General features: G+C 43.4%; 1 protein-coding gene across 10 annotated transcripts in view; it reads left to right on the top strand.

Moving 5' to 3' along the window:
• PPP2R2B (protein phosphatase 2 regulatory subunit Bbeta) overlaps window positions 1-17,250 on the top strand; it is a 500,779-nt gene that overhangs the window by 440,994 nt on the left and 42,535 nt on the right. For all 10 annotated transcript variants that reach the window (NM_001271900.2, NM_181676.3, NM_181674.3 and 7 more), the window contains one exon: window positions 2,112-2,276. In NM_001271900.2, coding sequence (NP_001258829.1) covers window positions 2,112-2,276 — 165 coding nt within the window. The remainder of the gene's footprint in view (window positions 1-2,111; window positions 2,277-17,250) is intronic.

The raw sequence follows: 17,250 nt of genomic DNA, 5'->3' as shown, positions 1-17,250 counted from the left end.
ACTAACCTCCGTTTACCCAACGCCACGTCATGGCCATAAAGCCCAGGGCATGGGTCAGTGGCTGAGAGAGCACCGGAGCTGCAGCCTAGAGCCTCCTCCTGAGGGGCACAGGCTCTTGCTCCACAGCATGTGATGCTAACTGCAATCATATTTATAACTCTGGCAGAAGTTGAGTTGAAGGGTAGTATTTTGTGAATCCAGGAGACTCACATGCCCCGGAGACCCAAGTAATATTTGCATCTGGGTTTGGTAGGAGAAATTGTAGTAACATGTACTGTTAGCTCAGTCTCATGCCAATTTTAGAAAGAACCCAATAGGGTTTATAAGAGATAATGAAGGGGAAAGAGGCACAACCAAATACAAAGCCATTGTTGCAACAAATTGCATGTTGGAATGTTGTAGCAGGAGCATAGTGATGTTTGATCATAGATGATTACTTTGTTAGTGCTAGCGGGACTAAAAATATCAGTGCATTTGCTTGTACCGCATCTAAACTCTAAGGAGGGGACTATGCTACTAGCTTAATGAAAAGCATACAAGACTTTCATCCATCTCAGTCTAATGGGGCAGTTATATCAAGTTATTGCTTGTTGATTCAATACATTGTTGTCCAAAATGTGGTGCATAAACTCCTGGCACACGCATTTGCAGTTATCACATGTCAATTTTTATGCATATTACTTAAAATGTAGCTACCTTATTAAACCCATGATTTTATGAACATTGGGTTACTGTTTAGATAAAGCTAAGTAAAGAAAAAAGTGAATCAATTTAAAGTTGATCTGAAAGAAAAATGTTAAGTAAAAAGTACTATCTGATGATGCACAGATAGGGCAAAAATCACAAAGGTGGCTCACGAGTAGGAAAATCTAGGAAAAGTGGGAGTCCTGTTGGTCAGCTTTACTGTGTAACAGCATCCACATCACAAGGCTTGTTCTTTGCAGGATGTTGCTGGGTCCTCAGACAGTACCTCGGCCCCTCTGTGTCCTGATCCCCCAAGCTCTGGGTGGAGGTGTGAAGAGATCTGTACAAACCCACTCCTTCACTCATGCCAGACATCCCAGTGAAGGGGTTTATTTTCATTGAGTCACCTTCATAAATAAAAGACTAAATGTTTCATTCCAATATACAAGGATATGGTCTTTAAAAAATAGAGGTATAATTCTTGATCAGAAAGGGAAATACTGAGAAAAAAAAACCCAGATGATAAAACTAAGGATATTTTCCACGGGACCCTAAAACTTTCCAACTGGATGGCTTGTTTCTGATACTTAAAAACTCCCTCACAAGCTGAAAAGCAGATCACAACTTACAGAGACTAGAAGTCTTATATATCATACATGAGAGAAATTTTGCATAATTATGAAAGAGCACAGACTTTGCACCTGGGATGAAATCCTAGTGTTGTCACTTAGCCATGTGACTTGAAGCAAGTTTCTTTATGCACATGGAGCATCCGTTTCCACCCCTGAAAAAATGAGGATAAGGAAAACGCTAATTATATAGAGTTCTTGTAAGGATTAAATGAGATAAAGTACATGATATGCTTTGTACAGTGAATGGCCTATAGCTAGTGCTCCATTATTGGTGGCAGCTATTATTATTATCATCAACATATTATAAAGAAGGGCTTAGGGATTTCATGAAAGAAGATATGCACTCTATTATTATAGATATCACTTATCAGCCCAATAATCCATTAAGGAATCAGATAAAATGAATTATTTGGTTATAATAGGACCAGTACCTTAATCATTATTATAAAATGAGAAGCAAAATCTTTGCAACTTGGTACATTTTAGCCTGATTGCACAAGCAGTTAACTTTGGTCATGAGTGGATGTCTTTTACATGTTTATAGAGGATAAAACACAAATGAGGAGTCAAGAGACCTGAGTTCTAATGCTGCCTCTGACTACTGGGTAACCCTGGGCTATTTTCTTAAAGTTCCTGAGCCTCATCTGCCTGGGACAAGTTTATGATGAGGATCTACCATGTGCATAGCAAATGTTGACATATTTTACTAATATAAGATGGTGCCATTGCTAATTCTCCCCTTCCCCAAGTTCCTGCCTCCTTCTCCTGGTTCCTTCCTTGACTCGTCTGTGCCAGATATTGTGGACATTAAGCCAGCCAACATGGAGGAGCTCACGGAGGTGATCACAGCAGCCGAGTTCCACCCCCATCATTGCAACACCTTCGTGTACAGCAGCAGCAAAGGGACAATCCGGCTGTGTGACATGCGGGCATCTGCCCTGTGTGACAGGCACACCAAATGTGAGTAGCAACTGAAGGGAGGTGGGGGGCATGGCCACTGGCCCCAATGTGCTGGGGGAGAGCCTGGAAGCTTATGATCTCCCTTTCTACACCAGACACACTAGGAGTAAAGAAACTACAAGTGGGAGTCAGCTCCGTATTTTATATTTCAGTAAAGATGAACATTTGTGTTCGATTCCAAAACATCCAGAGATGAAAATAAATAAGACATGACCCTCATCAGAAAAGGGTTTAAATAACAGTGTGATGTGATCCAAATTATGTGTTAAGGAAATCATGCTTGCTGCCATGGGGAGAATGACTTTGAGGAATAGCAGGGGGACCAGTTAGGAGACCGTTGAAGGGTGGCCTGGACAAAGAGGTGAGTGGAAATTGAGAGGGCAGATGGGTTCTGGACACATCTTTTTTTTTAATCCATGTAACCTGCACAGTACTGCACAGATCTTGGCAATAAAATTAACAGGACTTGCTGAACTGCATGGGAGGCTGAGAACATAAAAGCCATCTAGAACAGCAGCTGGGGGAAGGAGCTGGTGGCTTCTTGGAGAGATTGTGACTATAGGATGCCAGAGCCATGTCATAATGACCATGATTTTTAAAACCCAAATTTTTTTCATCAAAGTGAGTGAACAGCCACAAAAGTAACCAGAGGAGTAGTATGATCAGAATTAGTTGTTAGGGAAATTGTTCAGATGGAAGGCAGAAGGATAAAGGTTAAATTCTGGCTGAGAGAACAAAGAAACAAGGAGACAGGTTAGGAAGCCACTATAATATAGATAAGCATTTCTTAACAGTACACCATTGAATCTTGCGCTACATAGATTTTTGTTTCGGGGAAGGGGCTGTCCTATACATTGTAGGATGTTTAGCAGCATCTGTGGCCTTACCCACTAGATGCCAATAACCCAAGCCCAGTTGTATAACCAAAAATGTCTCCAGACACTGTGAAATACCCTCTTGGTGAAAACATTGCTCCCAGTTGAGAACCACTGATCTAGACTACAATTCATTCAGTCACAGATACTGCATGATATTCTTGTATCTACAATGTATTTGTTACAATAAAGAACTCTGAGGGGTACAATGGAAAGGTAAGACTTATCTCCTATACTCAAGGAATTTAAAATTTGGCTAATGAGGCAAGATGCACCCAGGAAGCATTTCAGGAACAATGTATAAGGCAGTTTAGTTTTAATACTCAAGTGAATGATGGAGATAATTATGGGTTAGGCCATTCAGAGACGGTTGAGACATTTGAAACAGACCTCACAGGGAAGGCAGAGGCTGAGCAGTTGAGTGTTGAAGTACAAGTAGGATTTGGTTAGGTGGGAAACAGAAAGAAGAGTATTGTTGGCAGCAACCACAGAATGGGCAAAATTCTGAAGTTACTAAAGTAATGGAACATTTGAAGGGTGTTAAATAAAAAGTGTCAGGCTTGGGGGAAAGGGGAATCTTGGGTTAATGAGGTTAAATAGCAATGATGGTTCATATCAGGTTGATCCTTGAAGATCAGATTCCAAAGTTTATGCTGTCATGTATTCATGCATTCAGTGAGTACTTATATTATACCCAGAGTCTGGTTCCCATAGTATCCAGTCCTTCTTAAGCTGTTCCACCAAATACAGTTCTGGTGGGGCCAAGCCATGAACCCTGCTGCCATGGAAGGAGGGCACAGAGAGGAATCCAGTTCCTCCCATGTGCTCTGGGTTGGCCCAACCTACCAGCAAAGGCAAAACAGCCCATGCCTGGCAGAGACCAGCGACCCTGGGGGAGGTGCTGACCACAACAGATTTTCTTTGAAGCCTTATTTTTCTTTCTAAAAATTCATGTGAATTTTACATTTTAACCCATATAAAATCTATTTTCACTTTAATTTAATAATTATGTTTCTACCCCCACTCCCAAATTTTAAACAAAACTGGTGTTTCCAAAAGATGTAACATTTATCCTATGGCTTCCTGTACTTTTTAGTATACCCCCATATCCTCCCCTCTTCCTAACGCCCAAGGATATATACAGGTACCCCGGTTGGAGAAGCACAGTTTCTAGTATGTGGGAGGTAATTTGAGAGCATTTCGCTGGACAGCAGAGTTAATAAAAATTGTGTTTTATGGAAGATTAACACAGTGGTCATGTGAATAAAGGTAGGAAAGTTAGAAGGTTTTGCTTTAGTCTCAATGCAAGGATAATTTGGAACCTAGATCAAGAATGGTGGCTATAGAAATCCAAAGAAAGAGAAGGGGGAAAATGAACATTTTCTTTTAAAATAACTATGGGTGTTATAAGTGACATTAGTGATATTAAAGGTTGGCATTCGTCATACATGGACGTGATATGAATTGTTCAATGTCATTCCCCTGTAGATAGTAAATGCCTTGAGGATAAGAACTGAATCTGACTTGGTCACATTATATGAACCCCTGACACATAAGCAGAGGTCAGGAAATATTTAATAAATGTGTGCCTAAGGGTTGACATAAATAACAAGTGGGAATGGGGATGGATGGAAAGTCTCTAACTCTCTCCCAGAGAGTGAAGGGTTGGGACTCAGTACCGGACATGCTGTGGGTGAGGTGACATGAGCTGTCTAAGGAGGCAGGGCCTCTCTAGTGAGTGAAGGCAGAACCGGGCTTTCTGGGCCACCAACCCAGGGTGGAGGCCAGGGATGGCACGGGAAGCCCTGGCATCCCCATAGCCCAGTGTGGCTGACACTAGCCTCAGCTTTGGAGTCAGACAGATCCACATGCATTCTGGATATTGGGGAATCAACTGACTGGGAAGCTTGATGAACTGAACACAAGATAGAAAAAGGGCAAGGCCTTAGAAGCTTTCAAAACTAGAATGGTAAATAACTAATTGGTACTAGGCTTAATACCTGGATGATGAAATAAACACACAAAAAAAAACCCATGACACATGTTTAGCTATGTAATAAACCTGCACATGTACCACTGAACTTAAAAGTTAAAAAAAAAAAAAACTAGAGTGATTTAGAGCAGATGCTTTGGAATCAGAACTCAGCTCTGATACTCAGTACCTGCATGACCTCAAGCAAGTTATTTAATCATTTTGAGCCCCAGATTCCTCATTTGAAAGTAGAAATATTAAGGACAGCATCATAGGGCAGGTTGTTCACAAGAACTAAATTTCATGTGTGTGAGATCCTAGCCCTCTGCCAGGCACAAAGGAGTCAATAAATGACGGCAGCAGTTATCACAATTATTCACCCTGGATTCCTCCGGTTCTAGGCCTGCAGACATAAGATGTTCGAAACCCCAACCCTCTTGCCAGATATAGGAGGCCTCATTATTCATTTATTTAATCAATATTTGTTAATCACATACTTTATGTCAGGTACTGTATCAGACTCTGGAGACAGAAGGGTAAGCAAAAACAGACCTGGTTTCCTCCCTCTTAGAGCTTACTCTCTGTATTAGGGTTCTCCAGACAAACAGAACCAGTAGGGGGTGTGTGTGTGTGTGTGTGTAAGTTAAGAGATTTATCATAAGGAATGAGATCACATGGTTATGAAGGCTGACAAGTCCCAAGCTCTGCAGCCAGCAAGCTGAAGACCCAGGAGAGCCGATGGTGGTGTTCTAATCTAAAAGCCATCAGAGACCGGCCTCAGTGGCTCACACAGGTAATCCCAGCACTTTAGGAGGCTGAGGCGGGCAGATCACCCAAGGCTGGGAGTCTGAGAACAGCCTGGGCAACATGGTGAAACCCCGTCTCTACTAAAAATACAAAAATTAGCCAGGTGTGGTGACACACACCTGTAGTCCCAGTTACTCAGGAGGCTGAGGCAGGAGCATCGCTTGAACCTGGGATACAGAGGTTGCAGTGAGCTGAGATTGCCCCACTGCACCCCAGCCTTGGCGACAGAGCAAGACTCTATCTCAAAAAAATAAATAAACAAAACCCTCAGGCTGAAGACCCAGGAAAAACCAGTGTTTCCATTCAATTCCAGAAGCAAGGGGGGAAAAATACAATGTTCCAGCTCGAAGGCAGTCTGGCAGAGGAGTTCTCTTTCCCTTGCAGGAGGGTCAGCGTTTTTATTCTCTTCAGGCCTTCAACTGATGAGATGAGGCCCATTGACAATAGGCAGTACAATCTCTTTTACTCAGTCTATTAATGTAAATGTTAAACTATTCCAAAAACACCTTTACAGAAACACCCAGAATTTCTAGCCAAATATCTGGGCAGCCCATGGCTCAGTCAAGCTAATACATAACATTAACCACACTGTCTAAGGAGAGAAGATGCATTAGTTAGAGAACAGAAACAAATATAGCATCGCAACTGCAATACATGTATAAAAGAGAGGCATGTGCTGGTACAAGTAGAGGTGTTGAGGACTCTACAAGACAGTGACTGCTGAGCTGAGACCTAAGGATGGAGAAGCAGACGGGGAGAGCCCAGGGAAGAATCATGCAGTCATACAGAAGCAGGAAGCCGGTCAAGCCACACACCCAGGGAGCCCCAGAAGCTGCTTCTCCCTCCAGCCTCAGCCCCACACAGCCCCAGAGAAGCAAAGCCCTGGTGACTGTCCTGAAGGAGGCGGAGGAGCCAGCTACTGGCCTTCAGGCCTCTGCCCAGCCCTGTCCTCCCACTCCCTATTCCAACACCAACAGAGTTCTGAATTGCAAGCTGCCAGCCTGCTAATCTAATTAAGAAGCAAATGAAATTCATTTTCCTGACTCCTTCAAAGAACCAACCTTCTTCAGTGCACATCTCCCTTTGTTCAGCTGCTGCGGCTACGAGCCCCAGCTCCTGCCAGCTGGGAAAACAAGTTCAATCTGACCCCTCGCCTGACATTTCATATTGATTTTCTCCATCCTCCTCAAACGGCAGCCTGCAGTCAACCGCAGTTCAGCCGAGGTGTGTGATCGGAATTGAGACAGTTCATCAGAGTTCAAAATGAAAAGCAACATTGGCTTTTGGAGATGAGCTCTGAGAAGGAGAGTATTTAATAACCAACAGCATTTAATCAAAATGCCGAGGAGAACCGTGTTATCAGAGCTGCATTTATTAATTTCCATATGTCCCTCACTCTGCATACTCAGCAGGGGTTGGAAAGGATGATTCCTTTTCTCCCTCGCCTATTTTTTTCTACCACTTCTGGCGGTAGTGACAGGGCTTTGTTTGCAGTTTAGATGTCTGAAACAATAGGGTGCTGATGGCAGCAGTACTTAGCTAGAGTGGATTATTCTTTCCCCTTTCCACGCATGAGTATCGGTGGCTGGGTGAAGAAACTGGCCAGGTGTAATGGACACCAACCTGGGGAATGAAAGGAATTAAGCCTGAACTCCTTTCCAACGTGCCCCGTAAATCTGGTCTCTGCCAACATTTCCAGGCTCAGCTCCCTGTAGCCTGGCCACACTGGCTTGCTTCCTACACCTCCAATACATCCAGCCCTTTCCCACCTCAGGGCCTTTGCACATGCTTTTCTGCCTGGAATTCTCCCTGCCCCCCACACACTCTACCTGTCTGGCCTGTACTGACTTTTTAAGTTTCTGAGAAAATGTCACTTCCTAAGAGTTAACTTCTCTGTCCACCCCATCTGCACCTACCATCTCTCAATCTCATCACTCTATTTCTTTATTTCTTTCATAGCCTCCATTATAGTTGTTTGCTTTACTTAGCCTCTGTCTTGCTGACTGGAATACAATCTTTATGAAGACAGGGACTTTATCTCACTAATTACTGAATTTGTACAATACTTACATAGCACCTGGTGGGGCTTCATAGAACATCTGTGGTGGAAAGGCAGGCAGATAGGAAAAGACAGGTGAAAAAAGACATATTGGTTTACCAGGGCTGCTGCAACAAAGTACCATGGACTACACTGCTTAAACAATTCAACTATTTTTTCAAAGTTCTGGAGGCTGGAAGCCCAAGATGAAGTGTTGGCAGGGTTGGTTTCTTCTGGAGGCTACGAAAGAAGGATCAGTTCCACACTGCTCTCCTTGGCTTGTAGATGGCTGTCTTCTCCCTGTGTCTTTACACTGCCTTCCATCAGTGTCTGTGTCCAAAATTCCTCTTCTTATGAGGACACCAGTCCTATTAGATCAAGACCCACCCTGATTACCTTATTTTAATTACCTGTTGAAAGGCTCTATCTCCAAATACAGTTATATTTTGCAGTACTGGGAGTTAGGACTTCAATATATGAATGGGCGGGGGGGGGGGCACAACTCAGCCCATAGTAGGAGGAAAGACATAAAAGTCATCAAGAACACAAGCCCTGGAGCCAGCAGTTCCAGACATTGTTTCCAGGCCTCATTGCCGCCAGAAGCCTGGGCAGGTGCTGATGTTGACACCTTCCTCCAGGAGGTAAGAGTGGAAAGAGGTCATGGACACAGGGCTCTTGCACAGCCCCTGACACATTGGAAGCACACAATGAGCATAACTTTTATTAAAGGCAGGAGAGAAACTAGACAAAGGACCAAAGGACCAGGATGATAGAAACCTGTGCATTGGGTCTCGACAGTTTCACCAGGCAGGTTGTCCGTGTGTGTTAGGACAGTGATGCCTGGAGGCTTTCCTGTGGAGCTAGAACACTTTCTTTCTGAACAAAGCAGACTTTAATTGATTTTAGAGGCATTGAGGTACCTGATTCCTATTCAAAAGCCAGTCTTGAAGGGAGAGGTTCCCCAATAAGTAGGGTGTGGTTTAGCAGCATAAAAGCAGCAGGTGAAATCCTCAAGTGGGACTGGGAATAGTAAAAGTGATACCTTGAAAGGCCACAGAGACTTGACTTGCCAAAGACCTGGGGACACAGAGATGGAGCAAGTGGAGAGATGTTTATGAATGTTAAAGCAGCATGCGAAATGATAATCTCACCATGAATGCAGCAAGGTCAGGATAAGTATATGTGGACAAAGACTAGCAGAGGCTATATGAAAGGGATGAGGTCAGGGGCCATGAAATGTGGGCAGTTCTCTTATTTTCTAGATTCTCTCCAAGGTTGTTGTTTTACTTCTATAACTTGAAGAAAGTTGATGAATGACTGAAGAGCCCCACCGGGTGCCTTACCTCCAGGGTGGAGACAGCAGGAAAGATCAAAACTCCCTGCCCACCCCAGCAGCCCCTGTCATAGGTACTGGGATGAGGCAAGGCGGTGAGGAGCCCAGCATGATGTTCCCTGTAAGCACAGCCCAGGACAATTTTGTTTTGTTTCTTCCCCTCTGTCAAACCAAACTGACAGTAGTGAGTGAATTCAGGGACTGGGTCAAAACAGGGGAGGCAAATCAACATAGTTGAGCAGCCACTATCAGCTTGTATCCATGGCCTAATTGGTGATCTTGAGCAGGTTACCTAACCTCTGTGCTTCAACTTACTCACCTATAAAATATGGGTCATGAAAGTATTTACCTTATAGGGTGCTTGTGAGGATTAAATAACACCCGTGGAGCCTTAGAATGATGCCTGGCACATAGTATAAGCATCGTGTTATGGTTGGAGTGAAGATGGTGTCTTGCTTCCCTACCACATGTGTCTTTTAAGTGTGGGAGCAGGAAGAGCAGAAGCAATCATAAAAGTAGTAATGTCAACAGCCGTATTCACAGCTAACTTCCATGACATTTTACTGTGTCCAGGAAGTAAGCCAAGTATACATGCATGAGCTCATTTAATCCTGATAACAACCCTATGAGGTACATACTGCCATTATTCACATCTTAGAGATGAGGCAACTAGCTAAAAGGGGGAAAGATACACTTATGGCCACCAAAGAGCAAGTGATGAAGTTGAGGTTTGAGCCAGACCACCTGTAGCTCTTCAAGAGAACACCAAAAACTACTTATTCAACTAAGATTGATTAAACACCTGCTGGTTTCTGCCTTTAAGGACCATACTTTCTTGTGGGGAGGGATGAGAGAAAACACAAATGTACAAATAACCGAGGTCATTTCAGACATGATAAAAAAGCTGTAAGAAAATTAGCAGGGTCAGGAAGTAGTGGTATGTGGCAAAGCCTTTGAATTAAGACCTGTTATCAGACGGATCCAAAGAGAAAGCCAACATCTAAGTGTGAAGGCCCTAACAGAGGAGGAAACTTGTGTGTTCAAAGAATAGAGAAAAAAGATCAGTGGATGGATACAAGTAGGCTAGGGACAGTATAGAAAGTGAGGCCACAGCCAGGCATGGTGGCTTATGCCTGTGATCCCAGCACTTTGGGAGGCTGAGGCAGGTGGGTTGCTTGAGGCCAGGAGGTTCGAGACCAGCCTGGCCAACATGGCAAAACCCCATCTCTACTACAAATACAAAAATTATCTGGGTGTGGTTGCACACACCTATAATCCCAGCTACTCAGGAGGCTGAGGTAGGAGAATCGCTTGAACCTGGGAGGCAGAGGTTGCAGTGAGCCAAGATTGTGCCACTGCACTCTAGCCTAGGCAACAGAGCAAGACGAGAGGGCAAGGGAGAGGGAGAGGGAGAGGGGAAGGAAAGAAAGGAGAAAGGGGAAAGGGGAAAGGAAAGAAAAGGAAGAAAAGGGGAGGGAGGGAGGAAGGGAGGAAGAGAGGGAGGGAGAAAGAGAGGGAGGGGAAAAGGAAAGTGAAGCCAGAGAGGTAGGCTGGGTCTAGATCATTGAGAGCTTTATGGGCCAGAGCAGAGCACTTGCATTTCACTCTAAGTGAGATGGGAAACCATGAGATGGTGCTAAGAAGGAAGTGAATACTGTTTATGATCTTAAAAGAGTTCTCAGACAAGGGGTGCCAGGCCTGGAAAGCAGAGAGACCATTTAGAGGTTGTTGCCACTGTCTGGAGGAGACATGATAATGGCTTTGACCAGGGTGGGCACAGTGAAGTAGTGGTAAGTGGGCAGATTCAGGATCACCTTAGGAGGTGAGGCTAAGAGGACTTGCTGAGAGATTGGCAGTGAAGAGGTGATGGAAAAGGGAGAATCTAAGATAACTCGTAGGTTTGGTGCTTGAGTTACTGTACGGTACCATACACTGAAACGAGGAGACTGGGGAAGGAACAGTTTTGGCATGGAAAGACCAAGCATTCTCTTTTGGATGTGTCCAGATTGAGATGTCTGTGATTCATCCAATTAGAGAAGTCTGGCAGACAATTAGATAACATGAGTCTGGAAGTCTGGGGAGAGGTCTGAGCTGTAGGTATAAATTTAGGAATCACGAGCATGTCATAGCTATTTTAAGCCATGGGATGGGATAATGTCAATTAGGGCAGAAGGTATGGATAGAGAATAACTGAGGGCCCAGGAATGAGGTGAAGGCCACACCGACATTTACCAATGGGGTAGGGGAAAGGAGGAGGTGGCTTTTTACAGATGATCAAGTATGAGCTACCAGGGAAGTGAGCAGAAAACCAACACATGTAAGCTGAGAGAAGACAGTGATTTAGAAATACATTAGGATCAATTATGTCAAATGCTTCTGAGAGGGCAAGAAAGATGAGAGGGGTGAAGTGATCATGGGATGTGGGCTTATGGAAGTCTTTGTCCATTAATTAGTTACTTTAAGTAAAAGCAGTTAGCACACTGCCTGACACATAGTAGGTTCCCAGTACACATTTGCTGAATGCAATCAATCTTGTGTGTGGTGGCACAGGGTAGGTTCTGCAGTAGCATCTTAATTCCATTGTGGTTTGGGCAGACCTTCCTTCTTCCTCACCTGCCCCTCGAGCTTCCATCTTATTGAGAGGTAATGTCTAGTGCTGGGGAATTGCAGAAGCTGAATCTGGCCAGAGAAGGTCTTGAGGGCCAGGGTGAGGAGCCAGGGTTCACCTCAGCAGTAGCGATGGGGCTGCCCTGCAGCACCAATCCTTGCACTGGCTCTACCAGCAAGTCCACTGCCTGTAGACACTCTCTTCTAGCAGCAAGGCCCTTCTGCATTGGCAAGTCTGCAGCCCAAGGATTGGCCACAGAAATCCCCTCCTTCGGATGACACCAAAGCAGCCTTCCTGTCCAGGGGCAGTCTGACTTTTTCATGCTGAGGGGGAAATGGCATAAGCACTTTAGACCTTAAAATCTGAGATGTTAGGCCAGGTGCAGTGGCTTACACCTATAATCCCAGAACTTTAGGAGGCTGAGGCGGGCAGATCACTTTAAGTCAGGAGTTCGAGACCAGCCTGGCCAACAAGGTGAAACCCTGTCTCTACTAAAAATATAAAAATTAGCTGGGCATGGTAGCGCACACCTGTAATCCCCACTACTCAGGAGGCTGAGGCAGGAGAATCACTTGAGCCCAGGAGGTGGAGGTTGCGGTGAGCTGAGATTGTGCCACTGCACTCCAGCCTGGGCAATAGAGCGAGACTCCATCTCAAAAAAAAAAAAATCTGAGATGTTTCTGTGAACAGTGTAGTCATTGGAGAAACAGCCCGAGTTCCAATGAGAAGAAGGCAAAGTTTGATGCCCAGTCCAACAATGCAAATCAGAAATTTCATTGTCCTCCAAAGGTGGGTGTAGTAGAGGGGGAGGGTACTATTTTTGAACATTTCTGTATCTCATTTAATTCTCACAACAACCCATGAAGATTGGTATTAGTACCTCTAATTTATAGATGAGGCACAGAGAGGTGAGGAAACTTGCCCCAGATCACAGTGGAGGACCTAAGATTTGAACCCATGTAGGTCTGCTTCCAGAAGATTTATTCCTCTGCTGGGCATCTGACAGGATAAAGAGCATGATGTTTTTCTAAAATCCAGAAGGATAATTTCACAAGAGTCCATTTTATACAATCCCCATCTGGCTGGATTCCCCAGCCTGACCATTTTCAACCATAGAATTAATTCTGCCATTACACAGAACATAAAATCCACTCTCATTCTTCACCCTCATCTACAAACTTAATTGCCAACCCCTGGTAAGTAAGCCACTAGAGCTCCCTAATAAACCTGTGGCTCATTCCCCAGGTCCCTGATGGAATGTGTCCAAAGACATCAGCTGAGACAGCAACTGCAATGAATCTTAAAGCCCCTGAGATTTGGCATATCTTCCAAAAGGGGTTCAGTATTGATCTGAGGTATAATTAACAGTATTTATTTCAGGGGAGCTTGGTTAGGTTAAAAAGACAAGGTCCTTTATTAAAATGCTTTTGCCTGATGGCAGGATTGCAAACACACACACAGACACACACTTCCCACTCTGGAGAAAAGCCAAAAGCCTTGCTGCAAGGAGCAGAATTCACTGATACCACCACCACCCCCACCTCACCCCCATGTCTGAAGCTGCTCTATCCCATTCAAGCTTAGCAGCAATTAACAGAGCAGGCAGTGCCCAAGCCATCGAATAAAAATAGAATCCCTTCCCCCTTCTTCCATCCTCATTTCCATTTTTGATTAATTTAACCAGTTCTGTCAATTAGTCATCCTGGAGAATCCAGTTGAGTGGATTTTGCTAAGAACCAGAAGGCTTATTAATTTTGGAAGTGAGTGTTATTCATTAGTAGTTAACACCTTCCCAGGTCTTGCCCTCTCCCTCACTTGGGGTCTTGAATGAGACAGCAGTGAAGGTCAAAATTGGCTCCCACACATGGCTGCAGCCCCCAAGACATGCAGAATGGGAAAGATTGGCCATAGGGTTATAGATGGCTCTGGCCTTGGGACATTTTAGGCCAACTTACCTGTCGTCATGCCCTGTAACAAGCTATCACTAGCAAAGCAGCCACAAGCACCTGGGGGCATCCTGAATTCTAGGTTCAGGAGAACCCAGTCAAGGAAATGCCCAGAAATATTTTCCCCAGAAAGAGGCATTGGCCTGTTAGAGCCTAGGGAGGGCACTGGCCTCCTATTCCCTGTATTTTGCCTGCAAAAACCAAAAATTATCTTCCATTTTTTCAATTTATAAATATGTTGCAACTTTTAAAATCTAAGTCTGTGTTTTATGACCATTTTTCCATTTGTGGTGCCAAGGAATTAATCTTTTAACATTCATATAAGTATCATAACAAGGTGGGAATTTTATCATACAATCTTTATATATAATAGATCTTCCAACAGCCCGTTTTTCCCCTCCACAGTGAAATCAAAGTTCACCTCTTTCTCTCTGTATTAGCTGCCCGTTTTTCCCCTCCACAGTGAAATCAAAGTTCACCTCTTTCTCTCTGTATTAGCTTCCTATGGCTGCTGTAACAAATTCTCACAAATGTAGTGGCTTAAAACAACACTAACTTACCATCCTGCAGTTCTGCAGGTCAGAAGTCTGACATTGGTCTCACTGTCTAAAATCAAGGTGTTGATCAAGTTGTGTTCCCTGCTAGAGGCTCTAGGGGGGAATGTTTCCTCAATTTCTTCAGCTTTCAGAGGCTGCCCACATTCCATGGCTAATGGCCCCTTCTTCCATTGTCAAAGCTAGCAGCAGGAAGATGAGTCCTTCTCATATCACATCTCTCTGTCTCTCTCCTGCCTCTCTCTTCCACTTTTAAGGACCTTTGTGATTACGCTGGGCCCACCTGGGTAATCCAAGATACTCTCCCCACCTTAAGGTCAGCTGATTAGCATCATAATTCTATCCACAATCTTTATTCCATTTTGCCATGTAAGGTAAGATATTCCCAGGTTCCGGGCATTAGGATTTTGACATCCTTGGGGAGCCATCATTCTGCCTACACATTCTTCAGGTTTCAGTTAAGGCACATTCCTCCAGGAAGACTTCCTGGACCCCCAAATAGGATTAAATGCCCTGTCTCAGAGCACTTAATACCATACATTTAATTACCTCTTTCTATTTTGGTCTCTCTCACTAGATGGGACCATTATTATGGCTAGACTCTTTTCTCAAACCCCCTCAGCATTTAGGACAGTGAAAGTGCTAAAGAAATGCTTTTAGAGGTAAACAACTATAGTCATTCAATCTGATAAATTTGCATCTGATACTTCTCTTTACACATATGTAAAAGCCAACAGTAAAGAGTAGTTGACCCACTGTTTGCTCATTTCTAGCATTAAGAATACATTACACACACACACAGTATAATAAAATACCTACCTTGTTATATTTAACTTACATGAACATTAAAATTAAATCGCATTCCTAGGCACCACAAGTGGGAAAATGGCAATAAAAAAGCACAAAATAAGATTTTAAAAGTTGCAATATTTTTACAAATTGGAAAACTAGAACATAAGTTTTGGTGTTTGCAGGCAAAGTAAAAGAAAGAGAAGTCCATGAAGTAAAGGTAATCAACTGCTACTTATTTATTCAACGAATGTTTATTGTTGCTTCACATGTCCCAGGCACTGTTCCAGGCACTAGGAAAATCATGCCCCCTGCCCTTGCAGCACTTTATTGAAGGAGAAGGAATCTAACAACACACACATAAATAAGATTGAGATTTAGTGAAAATGTTTCAGGGGAAGAAGCAACAGCAAATGGAGTGGCTCTGAATCTGGACAGTGCTTGGCAGGTCACAGGGCAGAAAGATGACCAGCTGGGCTGTGTACAGTACCATAAGGAGGAATAGCATGAGAGGAGGCAGGAAGAGCTACATACAGGGCAGTCCCCTTGCACCACACAGCCCCCATTCACATTGTCTTCTGTGCAAAGGACTTGAAGGGCTGGGCCACACGGTAGACCTGTAGGCAATGGTAAGGAGTTTGGATATTGCTGTATTAAGAGAAAATCCAGGAGGGCTTGGTGTAAAGAGGATGATTGATTATACTTTTAATATGTCACTCTGTGGCTATTTAAGAATGAAGCCTCAGGAGGAAGAGTAGATGCTGGGAGAAGAGTCAGAAAGCTATCAAAGTGCTCCAGGTAAGAGATGAGCATGGCTTAGACTAAGATGGTGACAGTGGAAATGGTGAGATTGAATTGATTTGGGCCGTACTTTGAGTGTAAAGTTAATAGAACTGTTTTTTTAAAAAAAAGATGTAGAGGGTGAAGTAAAGGAAAGCACCAAGGACAGCTCCCAGCTTTTTGGCCTGAGCACACACCTAGATGAAGGTGCCATAGAGCGAGTTCACAACAACAGTTTGCAGGGGAAATTTACAAATTCTGTGGACTCTCAGATTTATGTTTTTAAAAAGGCATAAAATGATAAAAGTTGATACCTTTTGCTGTTTAGCCCTTTGCTATTTATAGAGCCCCTTCTCATTGATTTATCTTCATTGATCCTCCTGAAAACCCAGTAAGTTTGCAGTATCTCTTCCTTTTTGCAGCTGAGGAAATCAGGGTTTAGAAAACATTAAGTCTGAAACACTGACAATGATTGGTTTTTTTTCTTACATCATATAATGAATACAACCATCCTCACGACTTGCATGGCCCTGTAAGATGGAGAAGGGGGGATCTCTCGTGTGTGTAATTGACTCATGTTTAAGTATATCGGTTAATTCAAGCCCCCCATGCAGTTCTCATAATTCTATTTTGACAGCTCAGTAGGTAGCATCAGTAACTGAATTGTGAGATCTGCTGTCCACTCAAGCAGCTTCCAGCCCCATCAGTGCAAGTCTCTTTATCTGCTGAATTACTCAAAGCACCTGCTGGCCTTCCATCATTATCAAGCACAGACTGGAGACAGCAGAGGTCAGGGGAATGCTATCCCCACGAAGCTCATAATGATACTTGCCTTTATCTTCTCTTTTTAACCTGAGCATAAGGATTTAAATAGGATTGATCTCATGTATGGGCATCCTTAATCCCAGGGTCAAATAGCATATTCTGACATTTTTTGTGCCATTTGAAAATGTCTGTAATGCAGTGAAATTGTCATTGAAGAGTTACATATGAGAAAAATAGAATCATCAAGCTTAGGAAAAAGACTGAAATCAAACAAAGCAATGAATTGGTCAATAAGTGTTAACAAAGTATTGTGCTAAGCACAATGGATAGACAGACTTATGCAATTACTGCCTTTGTACACTTATCGTGGTGGGACAAGAGAATATAAAATTATGAAATGTTTCTAATATAAAGTTCATTTTCAATTGAATATGAAATTTAGATTCCCATAATCAGAAAGAGAAAATGCTGACTAAAAAGTGTTTATGCTGAATATTGTTTTAGACA

The sequence above is a fragment of the Homo sapiens genome, chromosome 5 (assembly GCF_000001405.40).
Source record: "Homo sapiens chromosome 5, GRCh38.p14 Primary Assembly".
NCBI lineage: Eukaryota > Metazoa > Chordata > Mammalia > Primates > Hominidae > Homo > Homo sapiens.
The sequence above is the reverse complement of the archived record's forward strand: the minus strand, read 5'-3'. Positions and strand labels throughout refer to the sequence as shown.